Source organism: Homo sapiens, chromosome 20, assembly GCF_000001405.40.
Source record: "Homo sapiens chromosome 20, GRCh38.p14 Primary Assembly".
Lineage (NCBI taxonomy): Eukaryota > Metazoa > Chordata > Mammalia > Primates > Hominidae > Homo > Homo sapiens.
The window spans coordinates 49,809,517-49,821,633 of NC_000020.11; the positions used below are offsets into that span (position 1 = coordinate 49,809,517).

Consider the following 12,117-nt stretch of genomic DNA (forward strand, 5'->3'; position numbering starts at 1 on the left):
AGGCTGAAGCAGGAATCGCTTGAACCCAGGAGGCAGAGGTTGCAGTAAGCCGAGATCGTGCCACTGCACTCCAGCCTGAGTGACAGAGTGAGACTCCATCTTAAAATACAACAACAGGCCAGGCCTGGTGGCTCATGCCTGTAATCCCAGCACTTGGGGAGGCCAAGGCAGGCGGATCACGAGATCAAGAGATTGAGACCATGCTGGCCAACATGGTGAAACCCTATCTCCACTAAAAATACAAAAATTAGCAGGGCATGGTGGCACATACCTGTAGTCTCAGCTACTTGGGAGGCTGAGGCAGGAGAATTGCTTGAACCTGGGAGGTGCAGGTTGTAATGAGCCGAGATCGTGCCATTGCACTCCAGCCTGGGTGACAGACACTCCATCTCAAAAAAAAAAAAAAAAAAAAATCCAAAGAAGAATGGTATTTCATGACATGTGAAAGTAATGCAAAATTCAAATTTCAGTATCCATAAAGTTTTGTTGGAACACAGCTATGCCTATTTATATTATTTATGCTGCATGCAAACTACAGAGTTGATTTGTTGCTACAGAGATAGTAAGGCCCACAAAGCCTTCAGTATTTACTGTCTGACTCTTTACAGAGACTGGTCAGGGAGGGCTTCCCTGAGGAGGGGACATTTAAGCTGAGACATGAATAACAAGAAGACTGGAGATAGCGGGCAGAGCTGTCTAGGCAGAGACAATGGAGAGCAAAGGCAGTTTTCTCTCTAATCTTGTAACAGTCTTCTAAAGAGAAGCGTTATTAAAGAAAAAAAGAAAAAAAAATTGAGGGGGCCCTGAGGCTCTGAGGGTGCTGTAGCCTCTCAGGGTCACGGAGACTGTAGGTCCTGAGGAGGGGTTGGGAACCAGCACTGTCTGGCACCAGAATTTGTGGTGCCTTATGCTGCCTCCTTCTCGGCCTGACACAGCATTGGAGCCCAGAAACTGCATGTTGAATGGCTTTATTCACCTTCCTCGGGGAAGGACCAGGGATTTTAGATTCATTCTCAGGAATAGGTGAGAAGAGCCAAAGACTCACCCATGGGCATGAGAGAATGTTCTCTGCAGCCTCATGGTTAGTGGTAGGCCCAGAGGAGGCCAAGGGCAGTAGGCAAGACAACGGATAGAGAAGAGTAGTGAATTCCAGCTATGTGGAGTTTCCAGCTTGGCGAATTCCAGCCATGTGGGGTTTATTGGTGCTGGTAGAAAATGGTAGCCTCAAGCCCTCAGTTGACAAGTGTGGCCAGAGAGAACCCCACTCTCAATCCTTTGTAGACCAGGTCATTCCCGCCAGGCTCTGTGCTAACGGAGGAGAGTAGGTTATTAGTCCCATTTAAGAGCCAGAGAAATTAAGGCAGTGGAGAGTAGCAGGGCTACTGGTTTAAAAACACTGGCTCTGTGCCTGAATCCCAGCCTTGTCATTTGCTAGCTGTGGGACCGCAGGCAAGTGCCTTGATTTCTCTATGTCTGTGGATAATGATGGTATCTACCTCAAAGCTATGTAAAGAATTAAGGAAACAATAGCCCAACACCACACCTGCAGGAAGGAAGCAAGTTTATTATTACTCAATAAACATTGGTGGATCCTGATGACATTCTCTCAGTCAGCTTTAGCAGTCTTAAGAGACTGCAGAGGATGGAGAACCCAAGGTTAGAGCCAGATTTCTTCTCTACCCAGTTCCTCGGGGCCAAAACCCTGACACCATGCTTAACTCCTCTTTTATACGCCATAGTCCGTCAGCAAACCTTGTCTTCAGTATGCGTCCAGGAGTCCAACCATTCCTGCCACCTCCACCGTATTACTTTCATCCAGACTGCCATCAGCTGTCACCTAGATTATTGCAAAAGCCTCCTTGCTGGCTTTGGGGCTTCCATCCTCTCTCTCTCGCCAATCCCCAGTCAACTCCCAACAGGCAGCAAAGCTTAGGTTACTTCTCAGTTCAAAACCCTTCTAGGTGTGCTAGAATTAACTGATTTATTTACTCAATGATTATTTATTATTGAGTGTCTACTATGTGCCAGGTACTGTTGTAGGCATTGCAGATAAAATGGAGAACAAAACAGACAAAAATTTCTGCATTCATGAAGCTTCCGTTCTCATGGAGGGAGATGGTTAACAAACAAGTGTATGAGTAAAACATATGGTAGGTTAGGTGTCATGTGGAAAAATAGTTTAGGGAAGGCGGGGGGCCTTGGATTTTAAGTAGGGTGGTCAAGGAGGTCTAACACACAAGATAAGGGTTAAATAAAAGGCCAAACGTAGGAGAGGTGGGAGCCAAAGAGCTACCCAGAAGAAGAGCATTCTAGATAAAGGCTCAGTAAGTGCAACGGTGGAAGTATTCCTGGTGAGTCTGGGACAATAGTGGAAAGTCAAAGTGTGTGGGAGGGGAGATATAGAGCCCCATGCCCCCCTCCCACACACTTCAGAGGGGAAAAGGGGGCAGGATTGAGTCCTGTACATTCCCCACGTTTTTTTTTTCTCTGGAGATTGGAAGCCATTGGAGGGTCTAAGCAGAGGAGTGATGAGTTAAGCTGCTGTGTGGAAGTCCGTAAGGAACAGGGGTGAGTCAGAGACCCTGAATGGAGCCGTTGCAATTATCCAGATGAGATAGAGTGCCTTGGATCAGGAAGGGAGGTAGCAACAGAAGCGGCCAATAAAGTTCAAAGTCCTCAGCCCCAGTCCTCCCGATGGGGGTCTCACCTACCCCTCTCACCTCACCTTGTTCCTCCCTGCATCCCCACCCCACCGGTCACTGCTAGGCACATAGAAGCATCTACTAAGCATGTGGTGAATCAATGAACCCCTTAATGAATGGTCCACCCCTAGATCATCAGCATCCTTTTTAACGCTAGGCATATAGTCTGAACTCAACACATGTTTACAGATGGAATGCTGCACAGTCCTGCCAAGTCCAGGCGGTTATTCCTCTCCACAGCCGAAGGAAACTAAGGCTCGGGTGGGGAAGTGTCCCCCTGGGGTCTCTCCGCTTAGGCTGCAGGCTGGGCATCCTTTTTCAAACTCTTTTAGCACAGCGAAGTCGAGGGCACTGGGTGGAGGGTGCTTGCTTGCCCTCAGGGTGAGTCACAGTGACCTCAGAGGAGTTTCCCCAAAACGTCCCCGCCCTGTGATGGGGAAAAGCCGGAATCTCTCGGTCCCAGGTGGTCATGTGGCCCAGGCCGGACAAGCGTCCCGAAAGCCCCGGGAGAGACTAAGAAGCAATCCTCCCACGCGCTTTCTCCCACCCTCGGGCCACTGAGACGGAGGGACAGAGGGCCGCCCTCGCGCGGCCGAGGCCCCGCCTCCCGCTCGCCCGCCCGCGCCTCCAGCGGAAGCCGGAAGCAAAAGCGGGTCCTGCTAGCCCCGCGGCTCCGAACTCGGTGGTCCTGGAAGCTCCGCAGGATGGGGGAGAAGATGGCGGAAGAGGAGTGAGTGGGCTTTTTCCCGGGCGGCGGAGGCGGCGGGGCTGGGCCCCGGCGGGTGACAGCGAGCGCCTCAGGCCGCCCTCCGGCCCCGGAAGGCGGAGCTTCTTTTGCTGGTTGGCCAGGACTGACCAAGCCGGTGCCTACGAGGAGGGCGGGATGGGCGGGCCTGGGCCCAGGTGGGCCTTGCTTTCCCCTGGAGATCGGTCCCTCGAGCTGGGAATCTACTGCCCAGCGCAGGCCCGGAGAGCTGTCTTGCGGAAAATACAAACCATATTTACTTTCCCAGTTTTCGGTAATCTCATGGTTACTGAGCCCTCTTCCGCCTCCTCCAGGAAGTCGTCCGGGTTCTCCACACCCACCTCCTACGTAGCCAGTCGCCTCCTGTATAACGATCAGTTTTCATGTCTTTCTCCTTCACTAAGTTTCATTTAGTCATTAACTGTTAGCCATCTACTCAATTCCAGGCCCTGGGCAGGTGGTAGGAAAGGAGGCCGACCAGGAGCCGCTCTCTGGGAGCTTCCATTCTAGTGGGAAAAGAAGACCATAATTAGTCAAGGTGGTTTCAGATCGTGATTAATTAACGTTATTTGTGCCTAGTGTTCCATTATTGGAACGCTAAGCATGTGGGAGTTATTTATATCCTACTGCTCAAGGTCATCGCCAAGGTCTGATTTTTCTCACGTCTGCAGTTCTAAAAATTGCAACCTCTGGCATGAATGGGTTAAGTGTTCTGAAGGAAGCAAAATAGAGTTAAGGTTGGGGAGTCCACTCAGGAAAAAGTGACATTCAGCAGAAACTTGAATGACCAGAATGAGGGATAGGAGAAATAACATCAGGTTCAAAAGGCCTGGCTCAAGAAAGAGTTTAGTGCTTTTGAGTGACAGGCAGCATGGCTGGTGTGTAGAGAGGAAGGGGGTTAGCTGGACAAGGGGAGATGGGGAAGGACGGGCTGTGTCCTCCAGGTACTTTTGGGCAAGTCCAAAAGTCATCTCCATACCTGCAGGGCAGAGTCTGTTGCAGATTGTAGATGCCCTATCACTGTTTGTGGAATGAGTATGTGAAGATGAATAAGGAACCCCTTCATTGATACTGGAGTCCTTCACCTGATAACTTTTCAAATATATTTCTTGGCCATGTGGGGGTCATTTCATGTAATCAGTTATTTATTGAGCAGCTGCTCCATCCCAGACACTAAACAGCCTCAGCAGCACAAAATAAAAGAGGCAATATAGCCCAGCGATTTCAAGTTTGGGTTTTCAGCTTGATTCTGCCACTAACTGAGATGTTGGTGAAGTTTTGCAACCTCCCTGAGCCTTAGTTATGCATGAGTAAAAAACGGAAAGTAATCATACCCAATCAGACATGTTATACCTATTAAATGAGAGGTAGTGTGTTACCTAGTTCCTGGAATAAAGCAGTGCTCAGAAAATAATAACTTTTGTAGTCACAGTAACAGTTATTATAGCAATATTGTACTAGTTCACAATCCCAGCACAGTGTGAAAGAGCTGTGGGAACATACGCAGTGGAGTGGGTAAATTCGGGTGTGGTAAGATGGGGTAATAGGAGGTGACATTTGAGCCGTTTGAAATCTGAGAGGGATTTTGTAAAGTAGGGTAGGGCATGCCCAGATCAACAACTGGGCAAATTGAGGTGGCTTCTTCAACTTGCAGAAATAATGCCAGGAAAATAATGTAAATTGGAGAAACAAAGGTGCTAAGTAAACAGTGTTGGACCTTGGAAAGTGATGAGACTCCAGTTTGCCTCCCTTTAAATCCCCCAGTATTTGCCAAAGAGCAGGCAGCATTTCATTTCTATACTAGCTCTGATTCCCTACCGTTCTTGTCCTCTAAGTGGCTGTATTCAAAAGCACCAGAGGCCACTGGTACCCTTGTGCTGTGCAGGCAGGGATTTTCTTAGTAAGTTTCTCTCGAAGGCCTGCCTGTTAAAGACTTCTGAATCCCATAAAGTTCTTGGACAGCTTCTCTTTCTGGTGTGAGGTGTGTGAATTGATGTTTTGGGACCCTTTTCCATTATCTAATTATGCTTTCTATGTCCTCCAGGAGGTTCCCCAATACAACTCATGAGGGTTTCAATGTCACCCTCCACACCACCCTGGTTGTCACGACGAAACTGGTGCTCCCGACCCCTGGCAAGCCCATCCTCCCCGTGCAGACAGGGGAGCAGGCCCAGCAAGAGGAGCAGTCCAGCGGCATGACCATTTTCTTCAGCCTCCTTGTCCTAGGTGAATATGGACACTGTCATCCCCATCATCTGCCATCCCGTGTCTGTGTGCTCGGTCTGTGTGTTTAACCCTGTCACTCCTCTTGACTGTCAAGTCTTCCTCCCATTTGGTTTTCATATCAAACACTGAGGGAACATGATCAGTTTATAACATCATTAACAGGAAACTCTCTTCTTTATAAAATCATGGTGCTTAGCAAGTTCTGAAGAGCTGTTGATGTAATATCTTGGCCTTTGAAAGAAGGATTAAAAAAATTTTGGCCTAGAAAGAATCTTGAGGCCTGGCGCGGTGGCTCAAGCCTGACATCTCAGCACTTTGGGAGACTTGGGTGGATCACTTGAGGTTAGGAGTTCAAGACCAGCCTGGCCAACATGGTGAAACTCTGTCTTCACTAAAAATACAAAAATTAGCTAGGCGTAGTGGTGTATGCCTGTAATCACAGCTACTCAGGAGGCTGAGGCACGAGAATCACTTGAACCTGAGAGGCAGAGGTTGCAGTGAGCCGAGATCACGCCGCTGCACTCCAGCCTGGATGACAGAGTAAGACTGTCTGGAAAAAAAAAAAAGAATCTTGAACATCTAGTTTAATGGATTTCAAGTTCTACTCAAAGGAGTATGCACCTGTGCAGGGGATGAAGGAGCAGGGGGTGGGGTGGCAGGAGGTGGGAGGAGTCAGATGGGAGAATATCTGACCCCCTGCTCCTGGCTTCAATCAGAGCAGCATTTTGTGTTCATATTTATTTGACTTCCATGTGAATTTTATTTAATGGTTTTGCTGCTGATTGAAAGAGCAGAAACCCTTGCCCCAGCACCCTGTTTTCCTTAACCTCTGTCATTCTCATTAACCATGGTCATGACTTTTGCCATATCTATGTACCACCTGTATTGTTAATTTAGTTATGTACTATTTTTGATTAAATGCATTCACTCTCTGAAAACCTCATTTTGGGCCGAGTTTGGTGGCTCATGCTGGTAATACCAACACTTTGGGAGGCCAAGGCAGATGGATCACTTGAGGTCAGGAGTTCCAGACCAGCCTGGCCAACATGGTGAAACCCTGTCTCTACTGAAATTACAAAAATTAGCTGGGCGTGGTGGTATGTGCCTGTAATCCCCGCTACTCAGGAGGCTGAGGCAGGAGAATTGCTTGAACCTGGGAGGCGGAGGCTGCGGTGAGCCAAGATCGTGCCACTGTACTGTAGCCTGGGCGACAGAGTGAGACACTGTCTTAAAAAAAAAAAACAAAAAAAACCAAAAAACTAATTTTGTTCAACCTTCTCTTTTAGTGTGTGAGGAAATTTCAGCATAGAGAAGTCAGGTGGTTGTCATACCAGGCTGATATAAGACTAGAGACTGATAACCAGGTTACCAGATACCAGTCGAGAGGTTTAGATAAAAGACAAAAACTTAAATGCCTCCCAGTGTGCCTCCATCTCAAAAAACAAACAAACAAACAGACAAAAAAGAAATCCAGTTGAAACTACACAACCACTTTTGATTAGCTAAGGAATAAATAGCTTTGAGTTTGACCCAAGTTCAAATTCTTTTTTTTTTCTTGAGATGGAGTCTTGCTCTGTCGCCCAGGCTGGAGTGCAGTGGCATTATCTCGGCTCACTGCAAGCTCTGCCTCCCGGGTTCACGCCGTTCTCCTGCCTCAGCCTCCCAAGTAGCTGGGACTACAGGTGCCTGCCACCATGCCCAGCTAATTTTTTGTATTTTTAGTAGAGTTGGCATTTCATTCTGTTGGCCAGGATGGTCTCAATCTCCTGACCTCGTGATCCACCTGCCTCGGCCTCCCAAAGTGCTGGGATTACAGGCGTGAGCCACCACGCCCAGCCAAGTCCAAATTCTTGTTTGGCCGGGCGCCGTGGCTCACACCTATAATCCCAGCACTTTCGCGTGGATCATCTAAGGTCAGGAGTTCGAGACCAGCCTGGCCAACACGATGACTCCATCTCTACTAAAAATACAAAAAATTTTAGCCAGACGTGGTGGCGGGCACCTGTAATCTCAGCTACTCGGGAGGCTGAAGCAGGAGAATCACTTGAACCCGGGAGGCAGAGGTTGCAGTAAGCCGAGATCGCGCCACTGCACTCCAGCCTGAGTGACAAGAGGGAAACTCCATACCCCACCCCCCCAAAAAAACAAAAACAAATTCTTGTTTGAAAGTGAAACAAGCATTTCATTTGCTGCTTTTCTTTAATGATACCAAAGTCATACTCCTAATGAGATTAGGTCTTTTCAGAAAGTTAAAAGGTGCAACTGTTTTTTTTTTTTTTTTTATTTCTCTGATGTGTATTAGGACTGTTTATTAAGGAAAAGTATAACTTCTCTTACATTTATATTCTGTCTCTGGTGAGTGGACAAAGAATTTTAATAATACACTTGAGGCCAGCGATTTGAGACCAGCCTGGGCAACATAGTGAGACTCTGTCTCCACAAAAAATAAAAGATTTTAATAATACGGTCTTTTTATTTGAAATCCTAGGACTCATCCTTGTCTGTCATAGTTTTAGAAACTTATAAACCGATACTGAAAAAGTACACAGACCAGAAGTATACAATGTCTCATATAGATTTAATACACCCTGGTAATTTTTTACCCTGTAAATGTAGTTGAATTCTATTTCTAGGGGATTACTTCAACAATGAAGGACTCTCTTTTGTTTTATTTTCTTTTTCTTTTGTGATAGTAGTCGAAGACAAAGAAGAAAAGCATTTCTTTTCTTGATTAAGAAATCTTTAGTAGCTGAAGTCTTCCTTCAGGATTAAGGAGTATTATTAATCTATTTACACTGCTGTCAATTTGATATGTTAGACAATATAAAAGGCGGGCCTGGAAAAAAAAAACTTTTGTAATCACTTTTTTTTTAAGGGAAATTGAAAAGTATAATATGACTTTTAAAGTAACTTCCAGGGCGTGGAGCATTTAAGATTAGCTGAACAAAAGACCACAAAACAGGTTTCTATAATGTACTTTTTAAACCAGGCAAAATCCTGCCCAGTGTTAATACATCTTTGGGGCCAGAAAGGCTGAACTTGCTGTATATTTCTCTTGGATTGCCCTCTCCAAACAGATTATAAACCTAGACTCTAGAGTCACACCAATGTTAGATGGCTTTCATTTTCACCTAATCAGATTCTTGATAGTTTATGAGTTAGTGTCTCTGCTTATGTGGAGGTTAGCATGTATTACCAAAACAGAATGATGCTTTCTTTTTAAGTAAATTTAAGGCATTGTTTGCCTGTTGCATGTTATTTTATTTCTGATTAGATATCCAAACATTGAATTTTTTTTTTTTTTTTTTTTTTTCCCCCTGAGATGGAATCTTGTTCTGTTGCCCAGGCTGGAGTGCAGTGGCATGATCTCACCTCACTGCAACTTCTGCCTCCCGGGTTCAAGTGATTCTCCTGCCTCAGCCTCCCAAGTAGCTGGGGTTACAGGTGCCTGCCACCACACCCAGCTAATTTTTGTATTTTTAGTAGAGATGGGGTTTCGCCATGTTGGCCAGGCTAGTCTTGAACTCTTGACCTCAGATGATCCACCTGCCTCAGCCTCCCAAAGTGCTGGGATTATAGGCATGAGCCACCACACCCAGTTCAAACAATGTAAATCTGATGGTGTTTTAAAAATTGCTGTTATTAGGTAACTTGCTAATTCATGAATAAATGAACTCAAGTGAATTAAGGGAAATTAGCCCATAGTTTATTCTAGACCTCAGAACTCCTGACCTGGAATTCATTTGCCACTTTTTGTTACTCTTTTAGTTAATTCAAATGAAATGGTAACTTTTGTGTCCTGTAAGCACATGACAGGATTACAGTGTGTTCCTCTTTGTTGAGAAGGGATGACAAAACTCTGTAGTTACTTTTGATTTTTAGAAGCTTGAAATCAGTTGACTTGCATTTAACCGTTGTTGATCTTTGACTCCACAAGAAAAAATGGGGAATCATTGTTATTTACTTACACTAGATTAACAATTAACATTATTTGACACATACATTTTATGGGCCTTGAAACTTAATGGAGTTATTATGATTGATATGTGTTTTATATATTTTCCATAGTCATTACTCCAGGCATGAAAAATTGAAAGCACACCCTCCATACCACACAGAAGTGTTTGCCCTTTCTTGCTCGGTTTTTTTCCAAGTGTACTTGAAAACGTGCTTGTTTTTGCATATACAGATGTATATTCGTAAGTACATGCAGAAACACAAATAATACATGTTTGGAGTTGCAAATTTGTTTTGACATAAATGGGGTCCCATAACTTGCCTTTTCATCTCACAGAATGTCTTGGAGATCATTGTATTGGTGTTTTTTCTGTCTACCTCATTCTTTTTTTTTTGTAGTAAATACATAACATACATTTACAATTTTAACCACTTTAAAATGTACAGTTCAGCAGCATCTAGTACATTCACAATGTTGTGCAGCTATCACTACTATCTAGTTTCAGAACATTTTCATCACCCCAAAAGAAAACCATTAAAAGCAGTCATTCCCCATCCCTCCCTTTTCTAGTCCTTGGCAACCACTATTCTGCTTTCTGTCTCTAGGAATTTGCCTATTTAGAATATTTCATATAAATGAAACCATATAATACGTGGCCTTTTGTGTCTGGTTTCTATTACTTAGCATAATGTTCTCAAGATTCATGTTATAGCATATGTTAGAATTGCATTCCTTTTTATGGCTGAGTAATATTCCACTGTATGGATATGCCACATGATGTTTATTCATTCATCAGTGAACATTTGGATTGTTTCTACCTTTTGGCTGTTGTGAATACTGCTGCTGTGAACATTTGTGTATAGGCTTTTGTGTGGATAAATGTTTTTATTTCTTTTGGATATATACCTGCAAGTGGAATTGCCGAGTCAAACGGTTACTGTATGTTTAACTTTCTCAGAAACTGACAAATGTTTTCCACAGGGGCTGCACCATTTTACAAGGGTTCCGGTTTCTCCATGTTCTTGCGAACACTTGTTTTCTGGTTTTAAAAAAATGATAGACTGGGCGTGGTGGCTCATACCTGCAATCTCAGCACTTTGGGAGGCTGAGGCGGGAAGATCACTTGAGGCCAGGAGTTCGAGACCAGCCTGGCAATATGGCGAAACCCTGTCTCTCCTAAAAATACAAAAAAATTAGCTGGGTGTGGGCGTGGTGGCATACACCTATAATCCCAGCTATTCGGGAGGCTGAGGCACTAGAATCATTTGAACCTGGGAGGTGGAGGTTTCAGTGAGCTGAGATTGCACCACTGCACTCCAGCCTGGGTGACAGAGTGAGACTCTGTCTCGGGGAAAAAAAAAATTATAGCTATCCTAGTGGATATGAAATTGTATTTTTGTTTTGTTTTGTTTTTTTTGAGATGGAATCTTGCTCTGTCTCCCAGGCTAGAGTGCAGTGGCATGATCTTGGCTCACTGCAACCTCTACCTCCTGGGTTCAAGTGATTCTCCTGTCTCAGCCTCCCATATAGCTGGGATTCAGGTGCGCACCACCACACCCTGCTAATTTTTGTATTTTTAGTAGAGACGGCGTTTCACCATGTTGGCCAGGCTGGTCTTGAACTCCGACCTCAGGTGATCTGCTTGCCTCAGCCTCCCAAAGTGCTGGGATTCCAGGTGTGAGCCACCGCACCAGGCCCTCACTGTATTTTTTAAAAAATCTTACATGTCCTTCCAGTGAATCATTGTATTTTGATTTTAGTTTCCCTTGTGACTATTGATGTTGAACATCTTTTGTCTATTCATGTCCTATGCCCGTTTAAAAGCTGTGGTGTTTGTCTCTTGGCTGTTGAGTTTAAGAGTTCTTTATATATTGTGGATAGTACACCTTTATCAGATATATGATTTGCAAATATTTTCTCCCCTTCTATGGATTGTCTTTTCTGACTTTATTCTTTTTAATGGCTGAAGGCTGTTACCTGGCATTGATGAGCCTTATATTAACTCTTTCTGTTAATAGTTTCCCCTTTTGCTCTTAAAGCCGCAAAGAGTTGTTTGATCTATTTATGAGAATAACTTAAATTTTTAAAAATCTAGCTTGGTACAAAGGAAGAGCAGAAACTGGTTCAACTCTCTTGGTCTATTTTCTGTCCACTTATGTGCTTATTTGCCGTTTTTTGTTTTGTCTAGACATTGGGCATGTTCATTAGTCACATGTTATGTTTATGCACTGGAACTTTTTTCTTGCCATTAGTATTTAATGTAGGATTTCTAACTAGGTTAAATATTTATATAAAAATAACACCACAGATTGATAGTTTAAAGCACAGAATGAAAAGAGGACAAAATGTCTACATTTACAACACTCTGGCCACCTGGTGTTTTTTGGTGGGATTAAAGAAACCTAATTTGTCAGTGCAGCCTCTGAGGGTGACCAGTTAACAGGCATGTGGATTGTTTAAACATTTCCTTGAAAAAAATAACAAAA

General features: G+C 44.5%; 1 protein-coding gene across 18 annotated transcripts in view, besides 2 other annotated features; it reads left to right on the plus strand.

Moving 5' to 3' along the window:
- Positions 2,991-3,130: an enhancer, noted in NCBI's record as "active region_18074". NCBI's record gives its function as "activates an Ori minimal core promoter by ATAC-STARR-seq in GM12878 lymphoblastoid cells {active_cell/tissue: GM12878}" and the evidence as "EXISTENCE:reporter gene assay evidence [ECO:0000049][PMID:35858748]".
- Positions 3,281-3,560: a silencer, noted in NCBI's record as "silent region_13004". NCBI's record gives its function as "represses an Ori minimal core promoter by ATAC-STARR-seq in GM12878 lymphoblastoid cells {active_cell/tissue: GM12878}" and the evidence as "EXISTENCE:reporter gene assay evidence [ECO:0000049][PMID:35858748]".
- SLC9A8 (solute carrier family 9 member A8) overlaps positions 3,312-12,117 on the plus strand; it is a 79,415-nt gene continuing 70,609 nt past the window's right edge. For 17 of the 18 annotated variants that reach the window (NR_048537.2, NR_048539.2, NR_048540.2 and 14 more), the window contains exons 1-2: positions 3,312-3,432; positions 5,492-5,673. Coding sequence is in view for 14 of the 18 variants with exons in the window: in XM_011528736.3 (XP_011527038.1) it covers positions 3,407-3,432; positions 5,492-5,673 (208 nt within the window). In the remaining 4 variants the exon portion in view is untranslated. Of the gene's footprint in view, positions 3,433-3,603; positions 3,722-5,491; positions 5,674-12,117 lie in introns of those variants that run through there. The other variant, XM_047440069.1, reaches the window with a different exon arrangement.